At 36.9% G+C, this 25,951-nt stretch overlaps 1 non-coding gene across 1 annotated transcript, besides 1 other annotated feature; it reads right to left on the bottom strand.

Moving 5' to 3' along the window:
• Positions 14,206-14,707: an enhancer, noted in NCBI's record as "NANOG hESC enhancer chrX:113263094-113263595 (GRCh37/hg19 assembly coordinates)". NCBI's record gives its function as "activates a minimal SCP1, AML or CMV promoter by ChIP-STARR-seq in primed H9 embryonic stem cells {active_cell/tissue: H9 hESC(primed)}" and the evidence as "EXISTENCE:reporter gene assay evidence [ECO:0000049][PMID:30033119]".
• LOC124900490 (small nucleolar RNA SNORD30) lies at positions 17,471-17,540 on the bottom strand. The gene has a single exon (XR_007068421.1). It is a non-coding gene; the product is annotated as a small nucleolar RNA SNORD30 (small nucleolar RNA).
• Between the last annotated feature and the right edge of the window lie 8,411 nt (positions 17,541-25,951).

The following is a 25,951-nucleotide window of genomic DNA, read 5'->3' as shown; positions in this document are numbered from 1 at the left end:
AATATTTTCCTAATCTTATTCTGCTACTCATGTGTCAGTCACCATTATTTTTCTGAAAATGAGCAATTGCATAACTTTCACTTTATTAAATATTCGATGTGGCTCTATGTATGTACCTTATATACTTATTTAGATATGTAAAATCTATTTGGCTAACTCAAATAATTACAGTGATTATTCCAGTAATTAAATGCTGCAAAAGTTAATATGCTTTATTGTCTCAGACTTTGAAAATTTCCTATCTATTTTAGAATGTCTACAGAACAGTACTGCATGAAATTTAAAAGATGCTTTCCTTTTTTCCTACAATTAGAATGGAGATAATTTTAGGTATATAAGAAAGTTCTATGTCCATCAATTTCCTTAACTAAATCTGCTGCAATGCCTTTTATATATTGCACATATATATTATCTCCTATATTTTGATAAAAGAGACGTTTTTGTGACTTACGGAAAGTAGCTTAAACTCTTCATGCCTCAGTTGCTCCATCTGTCAAATGGAGATAATAATATCAAGCATATAATGTCATTTTAAGACTTTAATGAGTTGTTGGTTAACTATCACTTCTTAACTATTCACTTTTATCCAAGTACATGTAAGAGCTGGAATTCAAGCAGAGCATGGTAGTCCAGCTGAACAAAAGGACAGAGATCCAAATTCAAAATAACTGAAGTCCCTAGAATCTGTGAAGTAGGTCATCAAAGAAAGTGCTGTGAAAAGTGGACTCTGAGTCTATGTGAACATCCCCTGTGCTTCCCTGAGTGAGAGGTAGGCTGAAAATACAAAGGATTAGACTACCTACGGCTTATAGTGTGCCTGCAGTGGGACTGAACAAAACACAGTGGTAGTAGAGGTCCTTTGGGGCTGGAGGACTTTGGAGTTCTGGCAGAGTCAGAAAGGAAAGATCTGCTTAACACTATGCTGATACCCCTAATCGAGCTGAGGCATCTAGAAAGGTTGTGCTTTAGGAAAGAGGACCATGCTCTTGAGCAGGGATTGGCAAAGTTCTTTAGTAAAGGGCCAGGTAATAAATACTTTAGGCTTTGTGGGACACATAGCTCTCTCACTTTTCTTTCTCATCCTCTTTCTTGTTCTCTTCCTGCTACTAGTCCTTCTTTTTAAGAACCATTCAAAAACATAAATTCATTCTTAGCTTAGTAGTATAGAAAAACAGGCTCACGCAGTTTGCTGACCCCTTCTCTGGAGTAAGACTTAACACAGAGTCACATTAAGTAAGCCTACAACCACGGCCTTAGAAAATCCTAGGTGAGAAGAGTTTGGAGGTTGAATTTTTTCATGTTTTAGGGGCTTTGAGAACACTTCAGATTTTTCACAAATCTGTCTTAACACAATGAAAATACCAAGCCTATCCAAATTCCTGGTAATTAGACAGTAATTGAACTGCTTACTGGATTAAAAAAAAAAAATCAACACTCTTCAGAGGAAGATAGAAGAATCCAAAATCATTACAACATGTGAGTCAAAAGGTCAATATACTATTAAAAATACTAGACAATGGAACAGAAAAATATGACCCATCGTGAAGCAAAAAGCAATCAGTAATAAACAATTGTAAAGTGGTCCATATGTTGGATTAAGTAGAGAAAGATTTTAAATAGTCATTAAAAATGTGTCCCAAGTATTAAAGAAAAGGTGATTCAAATAATTAAAAGAAAAATTTGAAGGCTGGGTGTGGTGGCTCACAACTGTAATCCCAGCACTTTGGAGGCCAAAGCAGGCAGATCACCTGAGGTCAGGAGTTTGACATCAGCCTGACCAACATGGAGAAACCCCATCTCTACTAAAAATACAAAATTAGCTGGGCTTGGTGGCACATGCCTGTAATCCCAGCTACTCGGGAGGCTGAGGCAGGAGAATCACTTGAACCTGGGAGGCAGAGGTTGCGGTGAGCCAAGAACGCACCATTGCAAGCCAGCCTGGGCAACAAGAGCGAAACTCCGTCTCAAAAAAAAAAAAAAAAAAAAAATCATTACTAATGAGTGAAATAGATAAAAAAGAAATTATTATTATTACTGCCACTAGTAATGAGTGGAAAGTGGTACATATTTTGGTTTTGATTTGCATTTCCCTAATTAATAATGTTCATTGTCTTATGTGCTTGTTGGTCATTTATATATCTTCTTTGGAGAAATGGCTATTCAAATTCTTTGCACATTTATTAATTAGGTTGTTTGCCTTTTGGGTGAGTTTATATGTTTATGTTTAGATCCAGGAATCCACCAAGACAAGATTTTTTTTTTTTTTTTCCCATGGAGAAAGTAGTTTTGAGAGAAAACAAAGAGGTAGATTTGGGACCCACTTGGAAAAGATCTTGCTTATCAGAGATCAGGAAAGCGCCTGTGTGGTCTGGGAGTGGTAGTGAGATTAGAAATGACTGTAATGTGAATTTTTATCATGGTAAAGAGGCATTTGCTTTTTACATTGCTATAAACATACTCCAGAAGGTAGGGCAGCAGTACAAGACTGAGTGATACTGTATGCTACTGAGCTTAGAGGGAAAAGGGAAAAAAACAAATTGCAACAGCACCATCAACCCCTCTCACAATTACTCACTTCTGTCAAAAAGGTCAATCTCATTCATGCCTTGTCTGTAAACTTGCTGCTTGCTATGCCTGAAATTATACTCCTTTCCCACCCTGATCCTGGCTTATTTGGGCATACATACTAAGAAAAGTATACATATAAATTGACTAGCAGAGTGCTTAACATAATTAGGCCCTGACATGGTTTAGATGTTTTGTCCCCTCCAAATCTCATGTTGAAATGTGACCTCCAATGTTAGAGGTGGACCCAGTGGGAAGTGTTTGGGTCATGGGGGCGAATCCCTCATGAATGGCTTGGTGCCATCCTAATGGTATTTAGTGAGTTCTCATTCTATTAGTTCACAAGAGATCTGGTTGTTTAAAAGAGCCTGGCACCTTCTCCCTCTCTCTGTTGCTCTCTCTCTTGCCATGTGACATGCCTGCTTCCCTTCTGCCTTCTGTCATGACTGGAAGCTTCCTGAGGCCCTCACCAGGAGCACAGACCAGCACCACACTTCCTCTACAGCCTGCAGAACCGTGAGCAAAAGTAAACCTCTTTTCTTTATAAATTACCCACTCTCAGGTACTTCTTTATGGCAATGCAAGAACAGACTAACAGGCCCTCAATAAGGATAAATAGGAAATATCATAATGATAAATGGATAATTAATCAGGAAGAGGTACAATTCTAAATATGTATGAACCTGTATCACAGAACTTCAAAATTCATGAAGTAAAAATCAACAGAAATAAAAGGAGAAATAGAGAAATATAAAAAATACAGCTGGAGATTTGCACACATCTCTCTTTAACTGAAAGAACAAGTGGAAACAAATTTCACTAATGATGTAAGATCTGTGCAATGCTATTAACCAATTTGATGTAATTGATACTCATGGGGCAGTATAACCAAAATTCAGAATACACATTTTTATTTTCAAGTGCACATAGATTTTCCACCAAGACCAAATTCTGAGCCAAAAGACAACATATTTCATATACTGCCAAGACCAGCTCGGTCGGGGAGAACCTAACCCAACTGCACTAGAGGAATTAAAGACACATACACAGAAATACAGGAGTGTGAAGTGGGAAATCAGGGGTCTCACAGCCTTCAGAGCTGAGAGCCCCAAACAGAGATTTACCCACATATTTATTAACAGCAAACCAGTCATTAGCATTGTTTCTATAGATGTTAAATTAACTAAAAGTATCCCTTATGGGAAACGAAGGGATGGGCCGAATTAGCTGCAGCAGGAACACACCCTTAAGACACAGATCGCTCATGCTGATTGTTTGTGGCTTAAGAATGCCTTTAAGTGGTTTTCTGCCCTGGGTGGGCCAGGTGTTCCTTGCCCTCATTCCCGTAAACCCACAACCTTCCAGCTTGGGCGTTAGGACCATTATGGACATGTTACGGTGCTGCAGAGATTTTATTTATGGCCAGTTTTGGGGCCAGTTTATGGCCAGACTTTGGGGGGCTTGCTCCCAACAATATACTGAATTTTTTCGATTTAAAATTATCTTTATCTCATCACTTCTTTTCAACATAGTTTTGGAAGTCCTAGCCAGAGCAATTAGACAAGAGAAAGAATTAAATGGCATGCTACAGAAAAGGAAGAATTGAAACTGTTTCTTTTTGCTGATGACGATGTCATCTTCCATCATGTATGGATACATTTTACAAACATTTGTGTGTGCAATATAATTCACAGTTAGAAAAATGTCTTAGACCAGTTTCAAACTTCAGTCTCATATCTAATTTCATAGAGCTCCAAGGCCTAGAGTGGAGACAGGGAATACTCTGCTAGGAGCCTATATCCTTTTTCTTCTCAGTTTTTGCTTCTTCTCTCCTACTGACTACAAGAAGGTTTTGGGGAGGGGGCATGAGAGGAGACTGTCTCTTTAATTAACTGACAGCATTTTGCAGACTACTTGGTGTTGTCTTAGTTCATTTAGACTGCAATAACATCATACCACAGACCAGATGAGATGAAGGTGCCAGCATGATCAGGTTCTGATGAGTGCCTTCTTTTAGGCTGCAGACTGCCTTCTTACTGTGTCCTCACATGGGGGAAGGAGAAAAGGAATTCTCTGAAGTTTCTTTTTTTTTTTTTTTTTTTTTTGAGACGGAGTCTCTCTCTGTCACCCAGGCTGCAGTGCAGTGGTGGGATCTTGGCTCAATGCAACCTCCGCCTCTCCCAAGTAGCTGAGATTACAGGTGCCCACCACCAGGCCTGGCTAATTTTTGTATCTTTCTTAGTAGAGACGGGGCTTCACCACATTGGCCAGGCTGGTCTTAAACTCCTGACGTCAAGTGATCCACCCACCTCAGCTTCCCAAAGTATTGGGATTACAGGCGTGAGCCACTACACCCAGCCTGAGGTTTCTTTTAGAAGGGCACAAGGTTAAAATGTCAACATATGCATTTTAGCAATTGTTGTTGTTGCTGATTTTCTGACTATCAAACACTGGCTCTCTATGCCTTCTGTGTAATAGACACCCAAATGCTGACTCTTTTATGGAGTGCACATATGAGTATTTTTGAGGACTCTTGGGACTTCCCCGCTGCACAGTTCTCAACCACTTGTATCGCCTATTAAATTCTTCACACAGTGGTTCACTGAAGAACCCACGCCAGCTTCTGTCCTTGATAACCACTTAAACTATACATACTCAGGTGTTATTTCTGTGTTGAGCTGTAGGAAGTACAGGCTGCTCCACTGCCATCTCTTCTTTAATTTCTTCCTTCTTCCTTTAAGTCTCTCTTTATTTTCCTGATCAGATAGGTATAGGGTGGGAAACAAAGTTTATGGGAAGCCATTGTTTTGGATTAGCCTCCTGTGCTAGGTCCCAGTCAGACCAGACCAAACCAGAATGGAGTCACTTGTGCTAAGTGCTAATCAAACTGAACTTTGAAACGGGCCAGTTTTTCTGAAAAATGAGAGTCTAGTCAACCAGAGTCAACATAATAAGAAAGTCGCCTCTATTTTAACCTGTAAAGACAGTAACTTCAAAAGGACCAACTCACTTTTTGTTCTGTTTCTGCTTCTTCAGCCCTTTTCTGCCTATAAAGCCAACCTCCTCTGCTCAGCTCATTGGAACACTCATTCTATTTTATAGAGTGAGATGTTACCAGATTCTCAAATTGCAGGTAAAAGTCAGTTTGATCTTTAAACCAAATTTGTTGTAGTTTTTTTCTTTTGACAAGGGGCATAATAGCAAGCCTGTTGCCTAAGCAATTATCTAGCCAGGGAACAAAATGTCTCTCTAGTCTTACATGCATGCATCCTACATTTTATAAATATTTTCTCTTGGAACACCACATTATATGGTTTCAAGAGGAAAAAAACGCCTCTTCCCTCCTATTACAAGGAGGCAGAGGAATCACTTTGATGAGCACTCTACCTTCCCTGGTGCTCTCCTTATATACCAGAGTGAAGTAGTAGGGCACTGGTTGATTATGGTATGGGTGAGTTGGGACACCAATTAGAAAACCTTGCAATGTGATACCTGGATGCATGTCTGGGTAGCTCGTTGGAAGCTCATTTTAGAATAAGATATGTAGTGCCTTAGTATTTTTTAAATCTTTTTTTAGCTGTGAGTTCTAGTGGACAATCCCAAGACAACAAGGGAAGTCCTTTTCAATGTCCTATTATGTTAGACTCCCATACTTATTAATTGTGTGTTCCCCAGCAAGTGTCCTAAATTCTTCCAAATTCAATTTTCTTATGATTTAATTGGAAAGAATAGTCTACCTGCCCTTTCAGTTTTTTTTAAGATTAAATAAGTATGTATATAAAGGGCTTGTTCAGATTAAATGTTCAAGAAAATTTGAGAAAGTAGTTTTACATGTTTAGGGGAAAGGCCTGATTTCAGTAGAAATTAACCCAATACAATGAATGGAATGTTCTATAACTTTTGGGAACTAGATCTTGTAAGATTGTAAATTTTACCACATATTCTTAAAATAAATTACATAATAAGTAGGAATAATATGTGAATCAATATGAATTAATGAATTGGTAATAGAACTATAATTATCCTTTGGTGAAATACATTTCCTTAATTTTATCTTTGGTCTTAAATTTGGTTATTCCATGCATTCGATTAAAGAAGATAGATACTACTCTTTGGAATGTGCTTACTTTTTTAAGCCTAAGAACGTTCATTACTTTGCATTGTTTTCTTCCCCAAACAGCAGGATATTTATATTATACTGGATTACTTACTCAGGAAATAGGTACTGAGATGACTCATTATTATATATATTGATACAAAAGTAGGCCTTATAGGCTATTCAATGACAGTTTTTTTCGTTTCAATAACTTTCAATTGAAAGTTAGTTTGAGAGTTGCGAAAATTAAAGGCGCTTATTCCTATAAAGTACTTAGCAAGGTGCCTGGCGTATAGTAAAGGCTCTATAAATGCTAGCTATCATGATGATGATTATAAAGCTTTCTACACAAGCTGTTTACTATTATCATCATGCCAAATTAAATTATAATAATAAAATGCTGATAGGAGAAAAGTGGAGTTGGACAATGATAATTGAAAATTATATTTATTCACATGACTTCTCCATTTTGAAAAGCACATATTTTATGTTATTAAAATAGTATTGAATGGGGGATATGGATAATACAATAGTTCTTCTCCAGAATTCTGTCTGGTAACAGTAGCTTTATGGCTAATAACACATCAAAGGGCATTGATAAATCTTTCTTTTTGTCTCCTATGTCATGGTAGTAGTTTCTTGGTTTCTGTTTTTCTTTTAAGTAAGCAAAATTGAGGAAACATAAAAATGATGGACTGTGCCATAAATGTTTAAAATATTAAATATATATTTGGCTTTTCTTTTTAACATAGGGCTTTTCCTTTGAGTATATAAATCAATCATTTGTGTTTCACATTATTCTTACATGAATATAATTCAAAAAAATTAATTCAAATAATTCAAAAAACTATTCAAAAAAATATAATATATAAATCAAATAATTTATTTTTTACAATTTGAGTGTATTTAAAGTGAATAGGGGACTTAAAGAAAATTGGCAAGCAGTCTGAGTTTAGAAATTTTTAAGATGTTAATAAATTTTCCTTATATTTGCAATTCTCATCTACACCAAATTCAAAGGCAATGTTTAAAGATGTACTTTTAGTAATATTTTTCAAAGCATTCAAATTAGTTTTTATGGAAAGAACAACTCTGATTTTGCATTCATATCTTATCATTTTACGCAATATTGCCTTAAATTACTTAACACATTAACATGTATAATTAACTGGCATAAATACTGGCATAACACATTAACTGGCATAAATAAGTTTTGGAATAAACTCAACAGACTCTTGGTAAGCATCAAATTCATATGGTGGAAGGAGAAGCCTGTGAAGGTAATGAGTACAGCCAACTAGCAGTGAGTATCTAGCCTGTGCTGGGCATCAGTTAGAATGCTTTATAGAGGAAATAGAGAACACTTATTATTTTCCCAAGTCAGCTAATTGATAATCTGGTAAGGGAACTTTTTTGTATTGTATTCTAATAAGATGACATTTTAAACTGCTATAACTGAGAAAATTGATCTCCTTAGTGACCATCTGGAGGTAGTGTAGATCTACATCAATGAGTTTAGAATTTTAAAATTTCTTTTCTTTTATTTCTTCTTTTTTTTTTTCTTGAGAGGGAGTCTTGCTCTGTCACCCAGGCTGGAATGCAGTGGCGCGATCTCATCTCACTGCAACCTCCACCTCCTGGGTTCAAGAAATTCTCCTGCCTCAGCCTGCAGAGTAGCTTGGACTACAGGTATGCACCACCATGACCAGCTAATATTTGTATTATTATTATTTTTTAAATAGAGGTGGGGTTTTGCCATGTTAGCCAGGCTGGTCTTGAACTCCTGGCCTCAAGTGATCCACCCGCCTCGGCCTCCCAAAGTTCTGGGATTACAGGCATGCACCACAGTGCCCGGCCTATTTTCATTTTTATTGGAATGAAAAAAATGAACTAAATCCCTTCAAATTAGAAGTGAGCTCCAAAGAATCACTAATATATTATTTTCTTCAACGTTTTCTCAAAAGGCACCCTCAAGGTAAGTAATTTAAAATGTACCTAGAACATAATTTCAAACTATGTATTCAAATCACAGGATAGTTTTTGTATAAAAAATAAGTGTTAGTTTTGTCCTTGAGAATGTGCTACATATTTCGGAGAACTATGATCTGTGGGCTTCATCAGAGTTCCATGGGCATGGGGCTGTGTGCGGTGGCTCATGCCTGTAATCCCAGCACTTTGGGAGGCCAAGGCGGGCAGATCACTTGAGGTCAGGAGTTTGAGACCAGCCTGGCAAAAATGGTGAAACCCTGTGTCTACCAAAAATCCAAAAAAGGAAAAAATTATCTGGGTGTAGTGGCCAGCGCCTATAGTCCTAGCTACTCGTGAGACTGAGGCGAGAGAATCACTTGAACCTGGGAGGAGGAGATTGCAGTGAGCCAATATCGTGCCACTGCACACCAGCCTGGGTGATAGAGCAAAACTCCGTCTAAAAAAAGAAAGTTCCATGGTTATGTGCATCCGCTCTTGCTGTCTTCCTGTGCCACTGTTTATCCTTAAATGTATATGAAGCCGTTCTTTGTCAATTGTGATTAAGGATTCCAGATGTTCAGTGATTTCATCAAAAAATGAATTTGCTTTTTTATTTCCTCATTCTCCTTTTATTTGTGGGTGATTTTCAGAAGGTTAAAATAAAAAATTCTATCTTTACATCACCATTTAAAAACCAGATTTCCCAAATATTTGCAAGAACAGCTAAATTTAAGGAGATTTAAATAAGCATCTAAAATCAAAGTTACTCCTTTGCATAAACAAAGCTTTTAAAATATCTTTTTTTCTTCCATTTTCTCTTGTCTTTTTATGGAATTCAAATTATACGTGTATTAAGTCTCTGCTCATTTTTTTTCAATCATCTTTTTTCCCGTTTTTCAAACAGGATAATTTCTATTTATCTATCTTCAAATTCCTTGCCTTTTTTTCCCTTTGATGTTTCCATTTTGCTGTTAACCCTATTAAACAATTTATTTTATTTAAGCTACTTTTTAAAGTAGAAGTTCCTCTTTGTTCATTTTATAGTTTCTATATTTCTGCTAAGATTTCCTTTCATTCATAACAAGCGTATTTTCTTTATATCCCTGATCATAGTTATAAAAGCTGTGTTATAAAATCTTAGGGTTTTATAGTTATTACATAGTTACAAAATCTTGAGGTTGGTTTCCATTAATTTTCCTTTTTTTGAAATTGATAATTTTTTCTCTGATTCTTCATATTCTAAGTATTTTGAATTGTACCTGGAAGTTGTAAATCTTGTGAAGATTCTGGTTTTTATTTTTATGTTTTCCTAAAGAATGTTCATTAAAAAAAACCTCTTAACTTCGCCGAACTCGTAATGTGAACAATGTCTCTCCCTTGGTGTGTAGGCAGCTCAGATCTCAATTTAGTTATTTTGGCTTAGCTCCTTGTAGTCTACCTCACCCTTGTGTAGTTCAAGGGTCAGCCAGAGATTTAGGCAGAGACTATTCATAATACATGTTCATCTCCCTTCCTGGCTCCCTTTTTCCTGTGAATTTTTTCCTTCACTGTCAGTAGCTGTGATTGCCCAGAACTCCTTTCTCTCATTTTTCAAGCCTATTAGACTACAGCATTTCTATCAGGGCATTATCCACAAGGCTGGGCACAGATTGGGGCCTGCCATAAGGCTAAAAGCTATTAAAAGAAAAAGAAATCTCACCTCATACCTTTACTTCCTCATGACTGTCAAATCCTCTCCAGTTCCTGCTTGCTTTCAATCATAATCCAATGCCTTAATTAAAAATATTATTCAGAATTGGTGGTGTTATTTGTACAAGGATTGCTCTGAAAGGAGACACTTGGCCATTACAGGAAGCTGAACCCATTCTCCCTTTTGTGTATTCATGTTTCACATGAGAAGACAAGTAATCACATGAAAACCCAATAATACCAACTTCAGTTGCCCAGTGGGTTTGACCTCAGAAGAAAATGTAGGATGTAGTTTTGCTTCTTCTAGTTGTTAGCTATTTCTCTCCAAGTAGAAAATTATGGGAAGAGAGAGATTTTTCTTCAAAATAAAGTGGACAAAGTAAACTATATTTGTGGAAAAAACGAGATGTGAAAACAGATATGGTAGTTTTCTAGAATAGTAACAACATGTTGCCAAATGTGTTTTGATACACACAGATAATTCCAAAGGCATTAATGTGGTGAACACACTCTCTCTCGCTCTCTCTCTTTCTCTCTCTCTATATATATGGAACTCAAATTATATGTGTATTAAATCTCTGCTCATTTTTTTCAGATACATATATGCATATATCTCTATGCGTATGTGTATAAGTGTAGAAAGCCCCCCCTACCAACACACACACAGAGAATGTTAAAGAACATATTCTTCACATTCCTAGTTGATTTCATTTAAAATGCATGGAATACTCTAATCACTAGTTACCTGTTTCTTATCTTTGAGTATCCTACTATATCTTGGTTTAGAAAAATGTGTACTTCAACCTTTAAAAAGTTTTATTTTGGCCGGGCGCGGTGGCTCAGCCTGTAATCCCAGCACTTTGGGAGGCCGAGGCGGGTGGATCACAAGGTCAGGAGATCGAGACCATCCTGTGAATGGTGAAACCCTGTCTCTACTAAAAATACAAAAAAAAAAAAAAAAAATTAGCCTGGCGTGGTGGCGGGTGCCTGTGGTCCCAGCTACTCGGGAGGCTGAGGCGGGAGAATGCCGTGAACCCGGGAGGTGGAGCTTGCAGTGAGCCGAGATTGTGCCAGTGCACTCCAGCCTGGGTGACAGAGCGAGACTCTGTCTCAAAAAGAAAAAAAAAAAAGTTTTATTTTAATGAGGTTTACTTTACATGGATTACTAGGTGACTGAAATACATAATTTTTAAATTAAAAATAATTGAAAGACATAATTACTATCATTTGCTAAACAATAGTAATTATTTCTTAGTGTGTGATTGTGTTTAAGTGTATGTGCTATAACTGAAGAAACAAACATGAAGTACTACAGGTTTTCTCCAAAATGCTACTGATACTGACAATCATAAAGCTATAATTACATTCTACTTACTCCTCAGCTAATAAATTAGTAACAGTTGCTATAAAGGACTAGTTCCAGTTTTCTTCAATATTAAGGTGTTTTTTTCTTGCACACTGATTCCCAAATGCTGGAAGTTATTTCACGTGTTAACTTGGGTAGAAGTACAAGAGAGGGCTCTAATCATATTTCTTTGATTACTGGCAAATTTAGAAAAATTGCAGGAAGAAGGTAATAGCTTTTTTCTCCTATACTATTATATAATCATTTATGAGTATTGTCCCATCAAGCTAGGTAATGGTGTTCCATAATAATCAGCAAACCCATTTAGCCAGTTATCTGTGTTCAAAATCTGAGTCATTTCTGACTCTTCCTCATTCTCCCAATCAAAACAATTACAATGTCTCATTTTTACTTACCTCATAATGTCCTCCATATCTGTTCTTCCCCTTTGATTATTATTGAAGTTAACCTGGCTCTGATGCGTAATGCCTCAAGTGTGTACCACTGCCATAGATTTATCATACTTTTCCTCATTATTGATACCTTCACTTACAGTCCATCCTGTACATGTCACGACTAATAGTCCTAAATATTGCTAATAGACCTAAAATATTGCTTTTTACGTTAATTACCTGATCATTAATACTTGATGGTTCACTGGTCTTTAAAGAGTTTAAACTTCTCAGCCTGGTAGAAAACATCCTTCTAGTTTTGACCATCTGTTTCACCAGTTTAGTCTACTCGCTAATCCTCCCAGGCATGGCATGGGCTACATGTTGCTGTCAGGAAGGGACAGTGCAGTTTTCTTTTAAGTTTTAGTGGTTTAAGACTCTGTCTTGAATGGGAGAAAATTTTTTGCAATCTACCCATCTGACAAAGGGCTAATAGCCAGAATCTACAAAGAACTTAAACAAATTTACAAGGAAAAAATCAAACAACCCCATCAAAAAGTGGGCAAAGGATATGAACAGACACTTCTCAAAAGAAGACATTTATGCAGCCAACAGACACATGAAAAAATGCTCATCATCACTGGCCATCAGAGAAATGCAAATCAAAACCACAATGAGATACCATCTCACACCAGTTAGAATGGCGATCATTAAAAATTCAGGAAACAACAGGTACTGGAGAGGATGTAGAGAAATAGGAACACTTTTACACTGTTGGTGGGACTGTAAACTAGTTCAGCCATTGTGGAAGACAGTGTGTTGATTCCTCAAATGGTATTTCTAGAATTATAGACCCAGCCATCCCATTACTGGGTATATACCCAAGATATTATAAATCATGCTGCTATAAAGACACATGCACACGTATGTTTATTGCGGCACTATTCACAATAGCAAAGATTTGGAACCAACCCAAAGGCCCATCAGTGATAGACTAGATTAAGAAAATGTGGCACATATACATCATGGAATACTATGCAGCCATAAAAAAGGATGAGTTCATGTCCTTTGTAGGGACATGGATGAAGCTGGAAACCATCATTCTCAGCAAACTATCACAAGGACAGAAAACCAAACACCGCATGTTCTCACTCATAGGTGGGAATTGAACAATGAGAACACTTGGACACAGGAAGGGGAACATCACACACTGGGGCCTGTCGTGGGGTGGGGAGAGCGGGGAGGGATAGCATTAGGAGATGTACCTAATGTAAATGACGAGTTAATGGGTGCAGCACACCAACATGGCACACGTATACATATGTAACTAACCTGCATGTTGTGCACATGTACCCTAGAACTTAAAGTATAATAAAAAACAAAAACAAAAACTCCTGGAAGTTTGGGGCTTTTGTCATAAATTGCCTCGTAGCTAGAAATGAGTATTTTAGCACATAAAAGCGAGTTACAGTTAAAAAAAAAAAGACTCTGTTGTGATGTTTTTTCATAATTCAGTGTAGGTAAGAATCACCTGGTTACATCCCTAAGCTCCATCCACAGAGGTTCTGATTTAGTAGGTCTGTTGGTGGCACCTGAGAATCCACAACTTTAGCAGTGGATTCTGATGAAGATGATACATATAGCACAATGAGAAATATTGCTCTACTTACTAAAACCCTACTTACCCTCCAAAGATGTATGTTCTATTTTTTAATATGAAGTCTTTGGGATTACTCTAGTCAAGAGAGATCACTGCTGTACTGTGAAGTCATACAGTATTTCTCTGTAACACTCATTCATTCATTCTTTCATTCAGCTTTCAAAGAGGACTACTAACCTTTTTGGAATAGCTATTCCATCTCTTCTATCCCCTTAACCTACTTTATTTTCCTCCATAGCACTTATTCCTGCTTGATATTACAGTATAGCTATTAAATTTGTAAACCAAAAAGGGTCTGAGACAGATCTCAATCAATTTGGAGGTTTATTTTGCCAAGGTTCTGGACGTGCCTGAGTAAAATCTGTAGCCCAGTGCTTTCTCCAAAGAGAGTTTGAGAACTTCAGTATTGAAAGGGGAGAGTGGGCAGGAAGGAAAAGAGGAATAGTCAATTATGCATTTATCTCACTCTCAGTAAATCTGCATTTTACATAACATAAAGTAAACATAGGGAAGAGAAAGTCAAATGTGTATTTTTCTTAGGGTGCATGGAGGGATGATTGCCAGTCTTGTCTTTGTGCCACACCTGTGAACACAAGTTGTTAATTTGTACTGTCAGGGTGATATTCAACATAACTCTGCTTTAGGGTAAAGATTTTTGGGGCCCACAGGAATTTCCTTGTGAGCAATTTGTAAAGGAGGCCCCCTGGGAGATATGTGGCCTTCTATTGTTGCAGCTATCTGTTTAGGAACAAAAGGCAGTTTTTGCGTGACCCATCTCCCAAGCTTAACTTTTCCCTTTGGCATAGTGAGTTTGGGGTCCCCAAATTTTCTTTTCTTTTCATAGTTTCTTTTTTTACATGAAAATAAGCTTCATGAAGGTAGAGACATTGTGTTTTCTTTCATTGTATTATCAGAGCTTAGAAAAGCATAGTAGATACTCAATAAATATTGTTGAACACATGAATTTGACACTTAGCACATAGGCTTTTATCGTTAATTGTCTTTTCATGAATGATGCAAAAATGTAGAATGCTCTTTAGGGTAAGATCTCTTTTACAATTCTCTCTATTATACTTTATAGCACCCAATCCATTGGTTTGCATAATAAGCACACAATGCAGATTTGTTGATATGTTTTTCTATTGACATGAATCTGAAAATAACATGAATTGATAACTGATTTAAGTTTCATTTTTAAGTAAAAGTGTGGAAAGCAGAATAATGGACCCTGAAAGATATATGTGTCCTACTCCTCCGAACCTGTTAATACACTACTTTGCATGGCAAAAGGGATTTTGCATCTGTGATTCAGGTTAAGAAGCTTGTAATGGGAAGATTATTCTGGATTATCCAGGTAAATCCTATCTAATTTCATGAGTCTTTTAAAGCAGAGAACCTTTTCCAGCTGCAGAGAACCAAAGATGGTAGTGTGAGAAGTAAGTTTGATGTTGCTGGCTTTGAAGGTGGAGGAGGAGGGCCATGAACCAAGGAATGTAGATGGCTTCTAGAAGCCAGAGAAGGCAAGAAAATGGATTCTCCCCTATAGCCTTCAGAAAGGAATGCAGCCCTGATGACGATGCCTTGATTTTAGCTCAGTGAGTTGTGTTTATGACCTACAGAGGTGTATAATACGTTGTGCTATTTTAAGCCACTGGCTTTGTGATATGTTTTGGTAGCAATAGTAAACAGGTATAAACAATAATAACAGCAAAAAAAAGCCTTTCAACCTTATTCTTCCGTCCATATGAGAAATGAAGCAGATTCCTGAAGGGCTGGGGCATTTTCCATATATATTCAATTATAAGATAATTTTGAATATAAGAAATGTTTCTATTTTCTTAAGGAGAACTTTTTTTTCAAGAATATATGGCTAACTTGAATATAGAAAATTGTGTAAATGGCAATTAAATAAGATGATATATCCCTATTTACTTTGCAAATGTTGATTAAATTAATTACAGATATATATTTAAAAAATTCATGAATGTTTCTGATGATCCAACAATATAGTATGCCCTTTGGGGTAAGTTGTCTTTCACACTTCTCTCTATTATCCTTTAGAGCACCGAATCCATTGGTTTGGACAATAAACACAAAGTGCAGATTTAGGTATAATATAATGTTGTATCTTTCTCATGTTTTATAAAACAATTTTATTCATATTTTACTGTTGAATTTAACATTCGTTACTATCATCACTGAAGATTTTTTTCTGGAGAGATCTGACACTTTTCTAGAATACAACATAATCACTTCTATCTAAGATATTTTAAAGAAAGCACTTTTTGAATCCACATATCACTCAAAATTTTATCCCAAGTTACAAGTATGTATCTGTTATTCATGATAAAATCCCTAATAAAACCACTTATCATATATTTGTTTCTAAAGTAGCCTTGAAAAGGGTTGTTTATACTTGGTATCCAAAATCCGTAATTGTGAGGTCATCTGTCTTCACAGATGATAATTTAAAAATTAGTGTTGATTGGGCTGGGCACGGTGGCTCACGCCTGTAATCCCAGCACTTTGGGAGGCCGAGGCGGGTGGATCACGAAGTCAGGAGTTCGAGACCAGCTTGACCAACATGACGAAACCCCGTCTCTCCTAAAAATACAAAAATTAGCTGGGCGTGGAGGTGTGCACCTGTAATCCCAGCTACTCGGGAGGCTGAGGTAGGAGAATCACTTGAACCCGGGAGGCGGAGGTTGCGGTGAGCCGAGATCGCGCCATTGCACTCCAGCCTGGGCGACAGGGCGAGACTCCATCTCAAAATAAATAAATAAATAAATAAAAATCAGTGTTGATTTTTTGTCTTCCTTTTTTTCTTATAAATTCTGGCTGATAATTTCTATTAACATACAAAACTAACATTGATTAAGGCCATTTTAGATTTATGTATTTTTTCCAAGTAGTTGTTCAAAATAAAGTAGTTAAAGAAAATGTGGCACATATACACCATGGAATACTATGCAGCCATAAAAAAGGATGAGTTCATGTCCTTTGCAGGGACATGGATGAAGCTGGAAACCATCATTCTCAGCTAACTAACACAAGACCAGAAAACCAAACACCGCATGTTCTCACTCATAAGTTGGAGTTGAACAATGAGAACACATGGATACAGGGAAGGGAACATCACACACTGGGTCCTGTCGGGGGGTGGGGGGCTAGGGGAGAAATAGCATTAGGAGAAACACCTAATGTAGATGGTGGGTTGATGGGTGAAGCAAACCACCATGGCACGTGTATACGTATGTAACAAACCTGGACGTTCTGCACATGTACCCCAGAACTTAAAGTATAATAATAATAATAATAAAAGAAAGTAATTAAGAAGGGTTCTCTACTATGGGAAAAATTTTATGTTTCATTTTCTTTATGAGACAAAATATTGAGCTAAAATTTCAGCTTATATTCAGAAAGATGAGCACTTTTATTCCACTTACTTGGTTTACTTTCTTTTTCATAGACATGAAAGTTCACAGGAGACATCCTATTTGTAATCCGTTATTGCTCAATACTATCTCATGTATTCCTTTCAATGTACATATATCCTGACAATATCATATTCAATGCTATGTTATTTTTTTCCCAGTCCCCTATTGATTAACTTTTAAATTGTTTCTAATTTTCAACAATGACCCATGATGATGATGCAATAATCATTACTTTTCATAGATTTTTACAGTCGTGTAATTATTTTAAAAATTTATTTTATTTTAATTTATTTATATTTTTACTTATTTTATATTTTTAAAAATCAGATTTCCATGTTTCAGCAGCAAGTCATTAGCTGAATGAGAGTCCATGTAAGTCATCATGTATATATATAGTTGTATATTTCTGAAGGATAAATTCTTAGAGGTAGAACTGCCATGTGAAAGGAAATGAACATTCCAAATGTAAAAACTATTGCTAAAATGACCTACAAATATATAAATATATGTTGCCATTTGATATGGTTTGCCTGTGTCCCCACCCAAAATCTCATCTTCAGTTGTAATCCCCATAACCCGTACATGTCAAGGGTGGGGGCAGGTGGAGGTAATGGGATCATGGGGACCATTTCCCACATGCTGTTCTCATGATAATGAGAGAGTCTCATGAGATCTGATGGTTTTATAAGCATACAGCATTTCCCCTGCTTGCACTCACTTCGTCCTGCTGCCCTGTGAAGAAGGTGCCTGCTTCTCCTTTGCCTTCCACCATAATTGTAAGTTTCCTGAGACCTCCCCAGCAATGTGGAACTGTGAGTCAATTAAACCTCTTTTCTTTATAAATTACCCAGTTTCGGATATTTTTTCATAGCAGTGTGAGAATGGACTAATACACCATGCATAGTGCCATGAAAATGTGCTTCTTATATCTCTGATGGAAGAGAGTGTAACTGACCTGCGGCCCAATTGTAGCACTTAGAAATCCATCACAGTACTTGTGCTGTGCACAGACCACTCTTCCTAAGGGTTGCTTCTAGCCAATAAACAATTGAGCACAGCAGAGATTCTAAGACAGGTCCATTTCTAAGACATGCAGGGCTGCTCTGATAGGGGATTTTGGCTCAAGGACTCTCCAACGACCTTTCAGAAGTCTCTTAAACCACAATGAAGTCTAGAATGCTTTCTCTCCCAACCTTTATTTAATTCTTCCTTCTTTACCCTTCCCTTTCATCCAGAGCCAGTTCTGCATTGTGGTTTGGCAGTTCTCCCAGATTCTTTCAGCTCCTTCCCCATTTTCTATCACAGGTAGTTCTCTCAATAAATTTCTTTCTTTCTTTTTTTTTTTTTTTTTTTAAGACGGAGTCCCACTCTGTCACCCACGCTGGAGTGCAATGGTGCGATCTCGGCTCACTGCAACCCCCACCTCCACAGGTTCAAGCGATTCTCCTGCCTCAGCCTCCTGAGTAGCTGGGATCACAGGTGCGCACTACCGCGCCTGGCTAATTTTTGTAGTTTTAGTAGAGATGGGGTTTCACCATGTTGGTCAGGCTGGTCTCGAACTCCTGACCTCGTGATCCGCCCACCTCGGCCTCCCAAAGTGCTGGGATTACAGGTGTGAGCCACCGTGCCCGGCCTTCAATAAATTTCTTATATGAATAATCATATCTTGGTCTCTGATTCTTGGAGGACCTTGGCTAACACAGTGTATAAAAATATCTATATAGTTGCATCATCAAATTTTAATATTTTTCATTTTGATTGAAGTTATTATTTCATTTAAATAATTGTGTATCGTTAATTATGTAGTTTAGCATCTTTTGCATACTTATTAGCCATATGTATTTTATTTTCTGAAGATTTTATGTTTATGAAATTTCCTGTTTTTTTCTTTAAAATCTTCTTGTTGGTATTTTTGTCTTTTTTGTTTTTTGTTTTTTGTTTTTTTTTGAGATAGAATCTTGCTCTGTTGCCCAGGCTGGAGTGCAGTGGCATGATCTTGGCTCACTGCAACCTCCACCTCCCCAGTTCAAGTGATTCTCTTGCCTCCACCTCCCGAGTAGCTGCAATTACAGATGCATGCCACCATGCCCGGCTAACTTTTGTATTTTTAGTAGATATGGGGTTTCAACATGTTGGCCAGGCTGGTCTCGAACTCCTGACCTCAGGTGATCCACCTGCCCTGGCCTCTCAAAGTGCTGGGATTACAGGTGTGAGCCCCTCCGCCGCCTCCCCCTGTCCCCCCCTCCGCCCGCTCCCCCAACCCGCCGCAGTCTGCTTGCTGTTTTCTTACTGATTTGCAGAATCATTTATCAACAATGAAAGTAATACTATAGCTAATATTAATTAAGGATTTACTATGAGCAAATTATTGTAACAAGTCTTTAATGTAAATTATGAACCTCCAAAAATCTGATGAGATAAATACTACTATTTTGCTAATTTTACAAATGTGGCAATGAGGAGAAAGAGGATGCATAATTGCACTAAGGTCATCTACGGTTTATGTGGCAAAGTTAGGATATGTATCTGTCTTTTCTGACTTAATTCAAGACCAATGTTCTACACTATAATTCCACTACACTATGCTTCTGCTAGACCAAAATCTTTTGCGCTTCCTCTATATTGCAAAATATTTTCTTGCTTCTTATTTAGCTTTGTTTACAGTCTTTTACCAAACATGAATTTTTATAAACTATGTAATCAAATCTGATGCTAGTGTTTTCATAAAAATTCCTGATTTGTTTCATGATTAACAAAGTATCACTAAATGGTAATGAAATATTGTTTCATATTTTCTTAGAATACTTTCAATGTTTTATTTTTTATGTTTAACTCTTTAATCCATAAATATCTGGGGAAAAATTACATCTCTATCCCTAGCCTTTATCTTACACAAACACATACACACACACACCCTTCTACAGTTGTAAAAAACCAGGACTTAAAAATAAAAGTAATTCACCCATGTTGTGGTGAGGATTACATGGCTCTAAGCATTTGTCAAAGTTTATAGAATGGCATAACAAAAAGAATGTCTTATTGTACATAAATTTTAAAAAACAAATTTAAATAATATAAGAAATAATTTGAGAATAACACAGTAAACATAATGTGGGTGAAAACTATATTAGAAAGAACAGAGCAGTTAATTATAAAACCAATTAGCTAATTACAATTAACACTTCAAAAACTCTGGAGATGTGAATTGAAATTCAACCATTAATCCTTTCTTAATAGAGTCGCTAATCTTTTACTAAAGGGGGGAAGGTCATTGTTTCAGGGTGTTTCTTCTTAGTCTTGATCTCTCTCGTTTGTTGATCAGAGCAACTACGCTGACCATTGTTTTTCTGCATATTTCTTTCAGTTGTGTTATAGAGATTTACCACTGCGTTGTATTAGCAGCCTCTATATCTACCTTTCATTATTACCACCAGTGCCGACTGCTGCTTCTGCAGTCTTTTATAATCTCCTTTTAATACTTAAGTATCTTTTCCTTCTACTCATGCTAATACTAATTCTTGCCCTATTGCTGATTCAAAACCCTTTTCTCCTTGTTCATTCAGACTGCCTTCTGTCAATATTATATGCCCAGGCTGTTTTTATCTCCATTCCATTTATTCATAATCCTAAAATGTGGTACAGCTAATCTTTGAAGCCAGATATACATTAAAATAGAAAACTCTGGAGTGTATCTGTCATATGTCTCACTAGGATTGCAATGAAAGGGAACCAGTAAATATACTCACAGCAACCTGGATGAATCTCAAGCATATTATGTTGGGCAAAAGAAGCTAGACACAAGAATATGCCCTCTACTATTTCCTGTACATGATGTTCTAGAAGAAGCAACACTGAGTAAGAAAATTTTCTGAGAAAAGACAGAGATGTCTCACCACAATAGTAACAGTAAGGTAATTTATGCCTTTCTTAATCTGACATTCAAAGCATTCTGCAATTTTCTTGAGGGTATGGTTTATATTGTAGGAATCACTGGCTTCCAAGTTCTTGACACATAGTAAACATGCAACAGTTATTATTTTTATTAACAAATAATTAAGGCTTACTAGAAGCTTGCCCCTACCATTCTTCTAGCCTTATCTCTCACTATCCACAAGAAAAATAAAAATGACTTCCAGTTATAGTGTTCTGCTCAACCTCCCACAGATATCCTTTAAGATTTTAAGTGTTTTCTTGCTCACATTTCTTCTTCCAATGCTGTACATTCACCTACACTTAACTTTGCTCATAGCAATCATACTAACCCTTTAAAGCCCATCTCAAATAGCATCACATCACAATGCAGAGTATCTTAATTATCTAAACAAAACCAATATCTACCTCCCCAAAATCACCTAGCTGCTCATTATTATGTGTCTTATGGTATTGAGTACATGCTACTTGAAATTCAATTACTTGTGAGCCACATTCTATATCATAAACATAGATGGCAGGACTTAGAGCTTATTTATTTCGCAACTCTATCAGTACACAAAGCCTTACACAATGTCTTGTCAGTTAAAGCTAGTAAATATTTGTTGATTTATTTCAGAATTTTGTTGATTACTAGTATGGCCAGGTATCATGCAAGACACTGCAAATGTATCATGGAATAAAACACGAAAATACCCCAGTTCTCTTAAACTTATAGTCTAGTGCGAGGAGACAGAAGATATAATAAATACGTTGAAAACATTATAATAAATAAATCAGTATGTTAGAAAGCTATACATGTTAATTAATTAATTAATTTTAGAGACAAGATCTTGTTCTGTTTCCCAGGCTGGAATGCAGTGGCTGTATCATAGCTCACTGCAGCCTCACCCTCCTGCCTCCTGGGCTTAAGCCATCCTCCTGCATCAGCCTCCCCAGTAGTGGGGACTATAGGTGTGAGTCACCATGCCCTGCTAATTTTCTTATTTTTTTGTGGAGATGGAGTCTTTCTATGTAGCCCAGGCTGGCCTCAAGCTTCTGCCATCAAGCAATCTTCCCACCTCGGCCTCCCAAAGTGTTGGGATTATAGGTGTGAACCACCACACCTGACCTATACATACTGTTTTTTAAAGTGTGAATAGGATAATGATGATCAGGAATGCCAGGGACAGTGGTTAATTACATTTTATACCTGGTAGAGGATGGCAGTGAAAAGTGGTAAAGTAAGAGCCTTTGAAAATTCTATTAGCTACGAAAGCAGTGAAAGTCTGTCAATAATGGTCAGAAAAAACTTTCAGAACTCTGGAAATGACCATATATTTGCAGCAAATCTGAGGATTGTTTGTTCAAGAAATATAGATGAATCTTGCTAAGAACAGCAAGTTTTGTGGCCTTTAACTTGTACTATTCCCACGTCCCCAAGCTCCATGGTAGCCTTGAAAACCAACAACTCACAATCATGATGAAAAGCCTGGTTGGTACAGGAGGGACAAAATAGGGTTGGAGATCCTTTAAAACCCCATTTCTGGAGAATTGTCATTACTTGAATGTATGAGTTTGCTAGGGCTGCCATAACAAAACACTGCAGAATGGATAGATGAAACAACATAAATTAATTTTCTCACAGTTCTGGAGGCTAGAAATTCAAGAACAGGATTGTGTACTTCCGAGACCTCTCTTCTTTACTTGCAGATGACTTCCCTCTTGCTGCTACTTCAAATAATCTTTTCTCTGTGCACTGACATCCCTGCTGTCTCTTTGTGAATCCAAATTTACTCTTAATATGAAAAACACTACTCAGACTGTAGTAGAGCCTGCCAAAATGGCCTCATTGTAACTTAGTTGCCTCTTTAAAGGCTTATCTCCAAATACAGTCACATTCTAGGTATTGGGGGTTAAGGTTTTATTTGTGAGTTTTCTGGGGACACAATTCAGACCATAATGTCCTGCCTGAAGGTGCCTAGGAAGACTTGCCAATGAAATTGTCTTTATTTGACCTGACTTGGAGCTTACCTAGTATGAACAGGCTTTTTCTTGGGAACATTTATTAAAATCAGTGAGAAGCAATTGTTGAAACTGGCTGCCTGAGATAGTAGGTAACAGCTGGGGCAAAGAATAGACTAATCAAAAATCACAAAACAAAATCAATTAATCTAATGCACCATATTAAAAAAAGACAAAAACCACATGATCATTTCAATTGAAACAGAAAAAGCATGTGATAAAATTCAACACCATTTCATTATTAAAAAGAAAAAAAACACTCATAAAACTAGGAACAAAGGGAAGAATCCTCACGCCTATAATCCCAGCACTTTGGGAAGCTGAGGTGGGTGGATCACGAGGTCAGGAGTTCGAGACCAGCCTGACCAACATGGTGAAACCTCGTCTCTACTAAAAATAAAAAATTAGCCAGGCGTGGTGGCACGCACCTGTAGTCCCAGCTACTTGGGAGGCTGAGGCAGAAGAATTGCTTGAACCCAGGAGGCAGAGGTTGCAGTGAGCCAAGAGTGAGATTCTGTCTCAAAAAAACAAAAAGGAGGAATCCTCAACATAATAAAGGGTATTTATGAACAATTTCAGCTAACATCATACTCTATTGTGAAAGACTGAAAAATTTCCCATGAATATTAGAAATGAGACAAAGATTTCCAACCTCACCACTGTTATTTAAGAGGGTACTGGAGGATCTATCTAGCACAGCAAACAGGCAATAAAAATGCATCTATATTGGAGAGGAAGAAGTAAAACTATTAGACCTATTCAACTTAATAAACAAGTACAGCAAAGTTGTAGGATACAAATTTATATTAAAAATAAGTTGTATTTCTATATACTAGAGATAAAATCTAAAGAGGAAATTAAGAAAATTTAACTTACAACAGCATCAAAAGGAATACAATATTTAGGAGTAAATTTTATGAATGAAGCACAAAACATACACTCAAAACTAGAAAATATTTTTCAATAAAATTGAAGACTTAAATAAGTGGAAAGACATTTCCTGTTCATGTATCAGAAAACTTAGTTTATTTACATAGCAATACTCCCCAAAATGATCTACAGATTCAGTGTGATCCCTACTAGAATCCTAGCAGCTAACTTTTTTATAGAAATTGACAAGCTGATCCTAAAATTTATATGAGAACTTGAGGAACCCCAAATAACCAAAAACTCCTAAAAAAGAACCCAGTTGTCAGACTTACATTTCTCAATTTCAAGGCTTACTGCAAAGCAACTGTAATCAGGACACTATGGTACTAGCATTAAGGATAGACATATAGATTAATTGAATTTAATTTAGAGTCCCTAGGTAAATGTATGTATCAACTGATTTTCTTTTTCTTTTTTCCTTTTTTTTTTTTTTTTTTTTTGAGACAGTCTGGCTCTGTGACCCAGGCTGGAGTGCAGTGGCACAATCTCGGCTCACTGCAACCTCTGCCTCCTGGGTTCAAGCCATTCTCGTGCCTCAGCCTCCAGAATAGCTGGGATTACAGGCGCTCGCCACCATACCCGGCTGAATTTTTTTTTTGTATTTTTAGTAGAGATGGGGTTTCACCATGTTGGCCAGGCTGGTCTCGAACTCCTGACCTCAAATGATCCGCCTGCCTCGGCCTCCCAAAGTGCTGGGATCACAACTGTTTTAGCAAGTTGCCAAGACCATTCAGTTGGGGGAAGAATAGTCTCTTCAACAAATAGTGATGGGGCAACTAGATCCACTCATGCCAAAAATACTTGGACACCTAACTCATACCATACACCAAATTTAACTCAAAATGAATCAAAGACCTAAATGTAAGAGCTAAAGTGATAAAATTCTTAGAAGAAAACAGGCATAAATTGTGTGAACTTAGGTTAGGTGGTTGCTCATTAGATATGACACCAAAAGCACAAGCAATTACAGAAATAAATTTAATTAAAATTTAAAAACTTTTATTTTTCAAAGAATGCAATCAAAAAAGTAAAAAGACAACCCACAGAAAAGGAGAAAACATTTGCAAATCATATACCCCTTAAAGGTGTAGTATACAGAATATATAAAGAACTCCATAAACTCAATAAAAATAGACAAAAACCAATTTAAAGATGAGCAAAATAATAATAATAATACGGATGAGCAAAGGGATAGGATAGACATTTATCCGAAGAAGATATACAAATGGCCAGTAAACACACGGAAATATGTTTAACATCATTAATCATTAGGGAAATGCTTATCAGAACTACAAAGAGACATTGTATCACACTCACTAGGACAGTTTTAATGAAAAAGACAATAACAAGTAGTTTAGAGAATGTAGTACCATTGGGACCCCCATACACTTATGGTGGGGATGTAAAATAGTGCAGCTGCTTTGGTAGTATATCTGGCAATTCCTGAAACAAGTTAAAACACAGACTTAACTTATGACCCAATAATTCCCCTTCTATGCATACATCCAAGAAAAATTAAAACATATGTCCATGCAGAAACATGCATAGAGATGGGCACAGCAGCATTATTCGTAATAACCAAAAGGTTGAAGGAACCAAATTGTCCGTCAAGTGATGGATAATAAACAAAACGTGTTATATCTTTTTAGTAGAATATTGTTCAGCTATAAAAATAAATGCATTTCTGCTACATGCTGCAACATGAAAACATTATAGCCAGACACACTAGTCTAGGTATCATATGATTTCATATGAAGTGTCCAGAATAGGCAAATCAATAGAGACAGAAAGTGGATTAGTGACTTCCTAGAAATGAGGAGAGGGAGGATTCTGGATTGACTCCTAATGGATACAGGGTTTCTTTTCAAGGTGATGAAAGTTTTCCTTAATTAGATAGTGGTTGTCTAACTTTGCAAATATGATAAAATCCACTTT

Source organism: Homo sapiens, chromosome X (genome assembly GCF_000001405.40).
Source record: "Homo sapiens chromosome X, GRCh38.p14 Primary Assembly".
Lineage (NCBI taxonomy): Eukaryota > Metazoa > Chordata > Mammalia > Primates > Hominidae > Homo > Homo sapiens.
This window is presented reverse-complemented; position numbering and strand designations above follow the sequence as displayed.